The sequence below is a fragment of the Homo sapiens genome, chromosome 5, assembly GCF_000001405.40.
Source record: "Homo sapiens chromosome 5, GRCh38.p14 Primary Assembly".
NCBI classification, from domain to species: Eukaryota; Metazoa; Chordata; class Mammalia; order Primates; family Hominidae; genus Homo; species Homo sapiens.
The window spans coordinates 170,804,312-170,815,471 of record NC_000005.10 but is presented as its reverse complement, the minus strand read 5'-3'; the positions used below and the strand labels follow the sequence as shown (position 1 = coordinate 170,815,471).

General features: G+C 40.0%; 1 protein-coding gene across 4 annotated transcripts in view; it reads right to left on the bottom strand.

The window, feature by feature from the left end:
- GABRP (gamma-aminobutyric acid type A receptor subunit pi) overlaps positions 1,425-11,160 on the bottom strand; it is a 31,328-nt gene continuing 21,592 nt past the window's right edge. For 3 of the 4 annotated variants that reach the window (XM_024446012.2, NM_014211.3, XM_005265872.2), the window contains 4 exons: positions 9,619-9,756; positions 6,720-6,872; positions 5,717-5,904; positions 1,425-3,516 (listed from right to left, as the gene is read on the bottom strand). In XM_024446012.2, coding sequence (XP_024301780.1) covers positions 3,214-3,516; positions 5,717-5,904; positions 6,720-6,872; positions 9,619-9,756 — 782 coding nt within the window. In that variant the 3' untranslated portion in view covers positions 1,425-3,213. The remainder of the gene's footprint in view (positions 3,517-5,716; positions 5,905-6,719; positions 6,873-9,618; positions 9,757-11,160) is intronic. The other variant, NM_001291985.2, reaches the window with a different exon arrangement.

Sequence of the window (11,160 nt, the reverse complement as noted above, 5' to 3'; positions counted from 1 at the left end):
TGGAAGGCAAAGGGGAAGCAAGGCATGTCTTACATGGCAGCAGGAGAGAGAGAGAGCAAGGAAGTGCTATACTTTAAAACCATCAGCTCTTGTGAAAACTCCCTCACTATCATGAGAACAGCATGGGGGAAACCACCCCCATGATCAAATCACTTCCCACCAAGTCCCTCCCACGACATGTGGGGATTACAATTCGAGATGGAACACAGAGCCAAACCATATCACCTGGCACTGAAAGCCATACTGTACTTTTCTTCGACGGGGACTCCCCTGCATTGCCTGCTCATTTCCAGCTTGAGGTCTACTGTAATCTCCAGCCCTTTTCTGCTATGCTCATTTCTCCTTTTTTCTTTTCTTCTTCTTTTTTTTTTTTTTTTTTTTTTGAGATGGAGTCTCACTCTGTTGCCCAGGCTGGAGTGCAGTGGTGTGATCTTGGCTCACTGCAACCTCTGCCTCTTGGGTTCAAGTGATTCTCCTGCCTCAGCCTCCTGAGTAGCTGTGATTACAGGCACCCACCACCACGCCCGGCTAATTTTTTTCTATTTTTAGTAGAGACAGGGTTTCGCCATGTTGCCCAGGCTGGTCTCGAACTCCTGACCTCAAGTGATCCACCCACCTCAGCCTCCCAAAATACTGGGATTACAAGTATGAGCCACTGCGCCCCACCCTCATTTCTCCCTTTCATTTGAAATGAACCATCTGCCATTTAGTTGCTATTGAGTGTCTTCCTATATTTTTATGATTTCTTATATTGAGACTATTGCTAGTCTCAGTAGCAAGTTAACTAATAATTATATTTCTATGATTTAGAATATTCCCAACCCCAGCTAGTTTCATGTCCTTTGGAAATTTGGTGAGGTTGTTCTTGATATTTTCAACCAAGAAGTAAATATTTTGAACAACGTGATCACTGGGACTGCTCTGGGTAGGGGATAAAATGGACAGGTTTCGAATATTAGAAGTTTTTACTGAGAACTCTGATGTAGTAGCTACACTTTAGTGCAGAGTGATACAAAATCCAAGAGTCAATGTTCCCCCCGCAAAGTGTATTCTCAAACTATAAAAATATCATTCAACAACAAAAAAGAGAATTCCAAGTGATAAAGAATGCTTAGAAGAAAATCTGTGACATTTTTTGAGAATTGGCTCTTTTGCTATCACCAGGCTCAGCTGTTTAACTGCAAGGCAGGTGTTGTGGTGCAGTGATGTCAAAGAAAACATTGGCTATGTCACCAGCATTTACTATTTGCTTGGCAGAAGATATTAATGGTAGGGTTTATATGTGTGTCTTGAGCATATATGTGTACCGTTTGGGGTTGGGGGAACATGAGGATAGAAGGATGTGAGCCCATTGAGTTTGTACTGTGATACATACCTTCTCCAGATTGGATCTTATAACAATCATTGTATAGATGACCACTTGATTTGGTGGGTAGCTAATATGGTATATTTATTTCACAGTTTCACATCTTTATCATTGTTTTTATATAAAAACAATGCTTAAGTGGGGTTTCAGAACAGATATTTCCTTTTAAACTTTTTTTAAAAAATCACAAATATGATTGGCTCATACAACCACATTTCACCTCTTTTCACCAGCACTCCCACCCATTCCCGTTAGAAATATTTTGTTAAAAAAATCAGGTGATCAAACTCATAGAAACTGAATTGTGAGAAGTATAATGGGAAAAGGAATGAGAACCTGTGGCTCTAGGGAGTTACAGAAGGGAAATCATCTTTTAGAGCCTTGGTTTATTTCTGACAGGAAAGGTAAAGCCGTGCATTTATTAGAACAGGAAGCTAAGAAATTAAAGATGGCGAGATTGTCTAAAATAACTGAGGCTGAACTGGAAGCCTTTACCCTGGCACACTCAAAAATCACTTTTGGTACTGTTGGCTGAGACTGGCCGAGGAATGTGCATCTCTGGCTGGATTTGGAGAGGGCAGCTCACCCGCAACCTGAACATAGGTTCTGTAACGTATCTCATTGTTACTCAGAAAGTTCAGTACTCAGGGCCAGCACGCTCCTGCTCATGCGGGATAAGCCACTCATAGCAGACCAGCTGGAAGGATCAGGGATCTGAGCAAAGCCAAGTTTACTTAAGCTAAGCCACTTGTTCCTGGGTCAAGCAGTTTGTTTTCTAATAAGCATCATTCCTGATCATTAGAGCAAAGGGATGAATGCTCCTCTTGGAATGATACAGGGGATCTGCCACTGGGAGAGTGTTGCTCAGTGTTAGAGTAGCAGCAATGACAGAATGACAGCGACTCTCTGAGTCAACCCAGTACTTTTAGTACCCCATCACTATGTGAATAAAGGCAGCTAGAAAATGGACTCAATTCTGCAAGCCTTCATGGCAACAGCCCATATTAAGACTTCTAGAACAAGTTAAAAAAAAATCTTCCATTTCCATCCATGCATGGGAAAAGGGCTTTAGTATAGTTTAGGATGGATGTGTGTATAATAATAAAATGATAAGATATGCATAGTGGGGGAATAAAGCCTCAGAGTCCTTCCAGTATGGGGAATCCATTGTATCTTAGAACCGAGGGATTTGTTTAGATTGTTGATCTACTAATTTTTTCTTCACTTATATTTGAATTTTCAATGATAGGACTTATTGGAAATTGGGGATAATTCTGTTGTGGTATTAAATAATATTCATTATTTAAAAACTCATCTTGGTATTGAGTTAGTGCATTGACTTCCAATGAATTGACATAAGCCCATATTTCATTTTAACCAGAAACAAAAACTAGAAAATGTTACTCCCTAAATAGGCAACAATGTATTTTATAAGCACTGCAGAGATTTAGTAAAAAACATGTATAGTTACTTTAGAAACAACTTCTGACACTTGAGGGTTACCCAATGGTCTCCTTCCCATTCTTTATATGAGGTAAATGCAAACCAGGGAGCCACCGAATAAACAGCCCTGAGTACATTTGTAATCTTGGGCTCCATGGGAATGTCCTTGATTAAGATGAAAGAGGAATGGACTGATGTTTCTATTACAAGATCCTATAATGCTAGGACTTCTACACAGCTTAGAACAATGGTTGGAGCTTCATTCTTTGAGCAGAAAGACTCAAATATTATTTCAGTCACTTGTAGCACCATTGGATGTGGGTGCACACTTGGCCTAAAATACCATTTACATCATTATCTTGTCCTGTTGAAGACCTATGGCATGCAAGAAATTTAACATTGACTCAAAAATACATGTAGTATGCCCAGTAAAATACATTGGCTAGCATAAAAATCAAAGGAAACAGTAGTTTGGAATAGTGATCAACATTACTGGGGTTTTGAATTGTGAAATAATCAACAATCCTGCCCATCTTTTCTCGGAAGACAAACTTGAACTTGTCGCTGGTTTTCATTGTCAAGTCACTGTAGTCAACGTTGTCGCTGGAAATTTCAATGCTGGCAAAGCTGATCTTCCGTTTAAAGCTGGAGATGGAGCTGTTGATGATATTAGTAATACTGACTTCTTCTACTTCCTTTGTTGTCCCCTAGTTCATAGACAATGCAGTTAGCTTAAAAGACTTGACTCAGCAAAATAAATAAGTAGGTAATGAGCTAATAAAAAGTTTAGAGGCCTAAGTGTTGAATAATTAGGCTTAATAGAGAGTGGCATTGAGTGCTTCAGAAATTGGCCAATAAGCCAGGCTTGGGCTCCTGTTGCCCTGTTTGGAGACACCTATTTGTAGGTCACCAGCATATATAACAGGAGGAGTAAACATGGCCTACTGTGGATATCCTGAGCAGTGTGCCAGATGCGAAATGCTCAGGCTTTGAAGTTAGTGGACCTGGGTTCAAATTCCATTCGGCCTCTCACTATTGTGAAACTTTAGTCACCTCAATCCCTCCAAGACTTTATTTCCTCGCCTGCCAAATGGTGATTGGTATTGCCATCTTGAGACTGATGGGAAGATTAAATGGTAAAAAATGGAAAGCATCTGGTAGGTGTTTGATGACTTCAATTCTGTTCCAGGGAGAAAGGAGTAACTGATTACGAGAGATAATAGAAATCAGCTGTGTCTTAAAGGCTTTGCCACCAAAGCAGAAATAGTGATGCTCCCTGCCATTGCAAGGAGTTGCCATTCTCCAACATGGCTGGGGTCAACTCCCAGGAATGTGGGAGTGTAGTGAAGTCAGAGAGAGTGTGGTTTGGTTCCTTGACCAGGCCGCTTGCTAGGTGTGGGGTCTTATGGGAGTTACCATATCACTGTACAGGACAATGAAATGAGTACCATTATTATCCCAATTTTACCCTTGAGAAATGTGCCACATCAATTAGTGGCACATTTCTCAAGAGTAAAATTGGGATAATAATGGTACTCATTTCATTGTGTTGTTGGATGAACTAAAGGAGATGTTGACGGATGTTTAGGACACAGTGAGTACTCCATAGTGCAGTGATTATCATATACACAGCAGAATAAGAGCTTTCTGGTGTCTTTAGAGGAGGCTGTCAGTATTTCACCAATGTCCATTTTGCCAATCTAGTAAATCCAGATTCTTGGGCGGGGGGATGAGGAGGTAACTCAACTTCCTTCCTCCCTCATAAGGAAGCCTAAGGGAGCAAAATAAATAAAAGCCATGTTCCTCTTTGGCTGGCACACGTGGTCATTTGCCTTTGGTGCTTGGATGACATGACTATGAAACATTACTCACTGTAGCCAAACCCAAGGGAAAAAGCAACTGGATCTTTGGGTCATTTTGATTCCTCATTCTACACTATTAGATCCTCCGTGGTCCTAGCACTTTGCTCAAGGTGGGCACCTCTTCTGAACTGGATCCCTATCATTTTCTTGCTTCTTAGCATGAACTTTAGAATGCCATTATCTATCAAATTTGGCTTCCAAATAACACTAGGGGTCCATGAACCTGTAAAGGGTGATAGTTAAGAGCATGGTCTAATGCTCTCTGCAAGTGGGAATAGCGGATAAGTGTCAGGCTTTGGAACCAAGTAGGTTTAGGTTGGAATCCCAGCTCTACCTCTTAGTATCTATATCCCCTGCGGTAAGTCTCTTTCCCTTCTTGTTATCAGATTTCATAAATTTAAAAAAGGAGACAACCTTATTGGGTTGTTATGAGCATTTAAAATAATATAGTATTTGCAAAAGGCTTGTTACTGTGTCTGGCACATGTAAATGCTTGATAAATAATGACTATTATTATTATTTAGAGAGCTGGACTATAGTGTTCCATTGCTAAACCAAATAATGACAGTTTTTCTCAATTAGCAGAAAAATATGCTCACCAAGAAATTTGTCACAATCTAATATTTCCATACATTTTTCAGTAAAGCATTACTTGTATAATTTAAGGACAAAATAATGCAACAAAAGAATTAAATAGTAAATATATATTAATATAAAACTTGCAAGCAGCTGATCATGTTTTTTTCATATTGGATTCTTCATGGATGCTTGCTCCTGTGGTTGTGATTTTATGCTGCATACAGATAACATATTTTCTGCTGGAAAATTAAACATATTAATATCTCATTGTATTTGGTGAAAAGAATGGTCTTTTTCAAGGGGCACCATGACTTCCAGCTGCTCCCACCTGAACAAGGATAAGACTCACTGGAGCACAGGGAATCACTGCGGGTGGGGTGGGGATAGAAGCCAGGTCCAGCCCATGTCTACAGATCAGCACACGGCACCAGTGATGGATCATACACAGGGCCCTCAAGACTCTTACCCTATCTTTGGCTGCCATCTGCTGTAAGGAACTGTAGTGAGCAACTGCATATTCTAGCAAGGCCCCAAACACAAAGCTAAAGCAGATCCCCAGGTACACATCGATGGCCTTGATGAAGCAGTTGGTGTTGGGAAGAGAAGTGCGGGACCCGATCATCAGTGTGGTCATTGATAACACGGTCGTCACTCCTGGGAAAACAGGCAGGGGATGTTCCTACAAAGTGACTGGTTAGTCCTCCACCATAGCCTGGCAGAGTGTCCCCATTTGAGAATTGGCAGGGTGAGGGCAAGACCCAGAAATGGAATGCATCTCATTTTGAAAAGTCTGCGACCTTCTAGAATAGGGTTGATTTGTCCATTTTGTACAGATATGAGGGATGTGTTTTTTTTTAATGTTTCACGTTCTGTCTTCTCCTGGGAGGGGGTGATAAATATGCAAAAGAACTGACAATAGACCATCTAAGCACAATGATCCCTTACTTGTCACTGTAAAACTTAAGTTTAAAAATGCACCACTCCTGGCAGGGCATAGTGGCTCACACCTGTAATCCCAGCACTTTGGGAGGCCAAGGTGGGCAGATCACTTGAGGTCAGGAGTTCAGGACCAGCCTGGGCAACGTGGTGAAACCCCATCTCTACTAAAAATACAAAAATAAGTTGGGCATCATGGCACATGCCTGTAGTCCCAGCTACCTGGGATGATAAGGCAGGAGAGTCACTTGAACCTGGAAGGCAGAGGTTGCAGTGAGCCGAGATCACGCCAGTCCACTCCAACCTGGGCAACAAGAGTGAAATTCTGTCTCCAAAAAAAAAACAACAACAAAAAACCCAGAATCCTAAAGTAGTCTCTTTCTGTCTCTCTCTTTCTTTCTCTGTAAAAGAATCTCCCAAGAAAACAACTCTTGGAACTGCCTTAGGAATATCAATGAAGACAATGGTAAAAGGAAAAAAAGTAAGTAACCTGATAAGCCAGTTCTTAGAAATCTCCTGTTGGAGCTGCTTACCAATGCAGGTTCTTGCAGGGACTGAATCGAGAGAGATCCAAAATGAAACCCAGGACAACACCACCAGGAAAGTGGAAGGAACGTAGGTTTCCAAAATGAAATACAGAACATTCCTCCGAAGCTCAAACTGTAAGACCAATCTAGTGTAATTTCCTGAAAGGGTAAACAACAGATAGGAAATTGTGTCTGTTCGTGTAGCAAGTGGTTTCTCTATGGGATGCTTAACTATATGTACATTAAGCCCTCTGTCATTGATCTAAATCTGGTTATGTATGAACTGTCATTATGATTTCCACAGGAGACACTGCTGTTGCATTGAATGGGATTTATAGGGGCGCTGTCCTGCCTTATGTCCAACCTGGGCTTTTCTGAATCACAGTATTCCTACAGCAGTGCAATCAATACTGGTTTTCTTGACGTCTGCCTCACTAGACAGTGAGTTCCTTGGGGGCAAACACTGAATCTTTCAGTTCTGCACTCACAAAGTAGTTGTTCAATAAATACCTGTTTAATGAAGATTACCTGTGACCATCTGTTTCTCAAGGAATACTATGGAATAGACCTAATGGACCTATTAAATATAAGTGAATTTTTGATGATTTCAGAGGCACCCCAGATTTTATACTACTTCAGGGCCATCCTTAGGGAATCTAGCAGTGTATTCTAGATGTGGGAAAGGCATGTGTTAGAGAGCTATCAGTAACAGAATTCTCTGTGGTAAATAGGCTACTGTAGCACAAAACATATATGTCCATGGGTTAGAGTCCCAAGCTCTGCTCCTGCTGTGCTTCTATTATGGGGAGGTGAGCAGTAGTGGCCAGCACTGGTGTGGATGCATGAATGAAGAGGTTATCCTCTGGGAACAGGAAAAGTCTGGCTTAGATTGTTGTTGGGGAAAAACAGGATGGTGAATGGGAGCTGCTCCAACCCTCTGTCACCCCCAAATTAAAGCCTGAAATGAGAAATTATACCATTAAAAAAACAACAGACATATGCCTGGATAAATATAGTATAGAATAAAAATATGTACTTTTCGAGCTTGGTGAGACCCTAGAGATTACTTATTATTTTACTTTATTGATGGGTAAATTGAGACACAGGAAGTTTTAGTGATTTGAAAAGGACCTGGAGTTGATGTTAGAAGAAAGAATAAAAACCAGGTCTTTTGCCCGTTGGTCCAGGGATGTTTTATCAGTCTACACTGCCTGCTTTATTTTCTTGATTTTGAAAGTCAATGTTTTAAAAACAAACAAGCAAACCTTAGAATCAACATTTGACTAAATAACGACCCTCTTTTGTACCTAAAGAGGGTGGTTATGTGCTACATGAGATTACATAATTTTGAAAACTGAAGCCATTTTTTATATGAACCCAACTTGGGAATCCAGATTTGGTAAACTATGACTGCATAGCCCTAATTTACAAAGTTGTCTTTAAAAATAAAGTGTATTTATTTGCCCATTATAAAAATAATTCATGATAATTACTTAAATTTTGGAAAATAAAGCCAGGCTTGGTGGCTCATGTCTGTAATCCCAGCATTTTGGGAGGCCAAGGCAGGTGGTTTGCTGGAGCTCAGGAGTTCGAGACCAGCTGGGAAACATGATGTAACCTCATCTCTACAATAATACAAAACATTACCCAGGCATGATGGCACACACCTATAGTCCCAGCTACCAGTGAGACTGAGGTGGGAGGATCACCCAAGCCCAGGAGGTGAATTTTGCCGTGAGCTGAGATTGCGCCACTGCACTCCAGCCTAGGTGACACTAGAGTGAGACACTGTCTCAAATAAATAAAATAAAATAAAGTAAAATAATAAGTAAATAGATAAAAGAAAAAAGAAAAGAAAAATTTGGAAAATAAGAAAAGTAGAGAGAAAAAATCATCTTTCCTTCTATTCCAGTCTTTTCTCTATACATACCCTTTAGTTTCTAATTTTCATGTAACCATGATCTTGGTGTGACATATGATTTTTAATGTCACCTAGGCTCAACTAAAATACACAGTAGGCCGGGCGCGGTGGCTCATGCCTGTAATTCCAGCACTTTGGGAGGCCAAGGCGGGTGGATCACTTGAGGTCAGGAGTTCGAGACCAGCCTGGCCAACATGGCGAAACCCCTCTCTACCAAAAATACAAAAATTAGCCGGGCATGCTGGAGGATGCCTGTAATCCCGGCTACTCAGGAGGCTGAGGCACAAGAGTCGCTTGAACCTGGGAGGCGAAGGTTGCAGTGAGCTGAGATCGTGCCACTGCACTCCAGCCTGTGCGAAAGACTTTGTCTCAATTAAATAAAATAAAATATGTAGTAATTTTTTAGGGTGCAAATATTGATGAGAATAAGCGTTCTTAATATTATCATAAGGAAGTGAGAGGAAAATGCCAGCTGCTTTTATATAACATCACATCTTTCCAAACATGTCTATGTAAAATCGCCAAAGACCAAGAGATGCATTTCTGGTAAATGAAATGAATAAGTAATACTTCCTGCCATGTTTGCAATAATTAGAGTGTTCATGCTCTTGTTGGGCATTGCTGCTGTCTTCTTCATCTTTGAGCTGTATTCTTATTTTTATTCTTCAGTGTCAGAGAACTAGTGTTCCAGTGAGAAATATGAATAAATTTTATGCATGATGGAGGCACGGAATTTGAGCACTCATTAGCAAGTATCTGGAGGTACATGGTGCAAGGCTTCAGAGCTGGTCCAGAGGTCTGTTCCTCAGTGGACCATTTTAATACTGGGTGTGGAGGAGGTGGAATTGCTCAGCACAAACCCTACTGTCCCGCTCCACTGCATCCCAAGGAGGTAAAGTGAGAAGACGATATTTCTGACTCAGAGAGCAACCCTACACCTCAGTTCACTTATTTTTATTTCATACAGTTTGTCACATGAGTTACCTGTCTCCTGCTGCGATCTGGTGACTAAGGTGAAATACCGCTCTATGGTGTACTGAGCAAGCCGCAGGTGTTCCAGTCCACGCACAGAGTCGTTCCCTCTCAGCCAGGTGAACTCCACATCATTTCCATCATAGCCCCCTGGCAAATAAAATGGAGCCCTGGTCAGTGCAAGGGTGTTCCAGATTGAACTGGTCTGGTCTGGAAAATGCTATAATATGGAGACAGCATGAGTTCTTTCTTCATAGTGATAAGTCCAAGGACAATCCCATGCAGAACTTAGCAAGATTTCCCAAGTGCAATTGCAATGTCTGCTCTGAATGAAGTGACCTGCCAGGACGATTTGCCGTCAATTGAGAGCTGGTCTTGTGTTAGGTACTGCGTAGATCTGGTGGATGATAAGTCATTAGAAGTGGCCTCCCTCATTATTTAAATTACATTTATTAAGCACATATCTGTGAACACGCAAAGATACTGCCTTTCAAGATTGTATAATAGCTCTGATGATATTTTCAGGGACTTAAGAACTGATCTGTTCATATTTCTATATTGGCATAAATGCAAAAACAAAAACAAAAAACCTGCTTTATTAAAGCCTGTAAAAATGCACGTTAGATAAGTCTCAAAGCAGTTTAATTAATATACTTGATAATAGTAACAATAGTTACCTTTTGAACATTTATAAGTACTTTATACATTATGTCACTAATGTTCTTGTAAACTTGCAAGGTAGCCATTTCTATATTTCCTCAATTCTAAGATGGACATTTCTTTACATTTTCTGAAATTGAACTGGATCTTGTAGTTGATTTATATCTATATAATATATAAATATTATAATATATATAATATATATAATATATAATATAATATAATATATAATATATAAACGTATATATGTATTTTAATATACAGTAAAGCTTATATTTTTTCCTGAAATGTTATTATTCAATAAATGCTGTTCCATAGAACTCAGTCACTATAATGATTTTCCCACATTATTCTTGAAAACTCTCAGATTCAGAGGGGTTGCATAACTTTCTCAGGATAACAAGGCAAGCAAGAAACAAAGTTACCTTAGGAAAGTTTAATCCCAAAGTCTATGAGTGACGATGATAATAATACCTATCATTTAATAAGCAATTGCATTTCCAAGTGCTTTACAACATTATCATCTCATTTAACCCTCAATGTATCTCTTTGAGAAGATACATGAATGGTTCATAAGCAAACAAAAAGATACTCAACATCACTAGTCATTAGGGAAATGCAAATCAAAACCACAATAAAATGCCTCACACCCATTAGATGGCTGTAATAAAAAAGATAGACAGTAACGAAGGCCAGCACATGCAGAAGCTGGAACATTAGCTAGTGGGAATGTGAAATGGTACAACCACTTTGGGAAACAGTAACAAAGTAGCAATTTCTTTAAAACTTAAATATATATTTACCATTTGACCCAGCATTCCACTCCTAGGTATCTGTCCAAGAGAAATGAAATCCTGTCCACAGAAAGACTCACACACCAGTGTTCATAGCAGC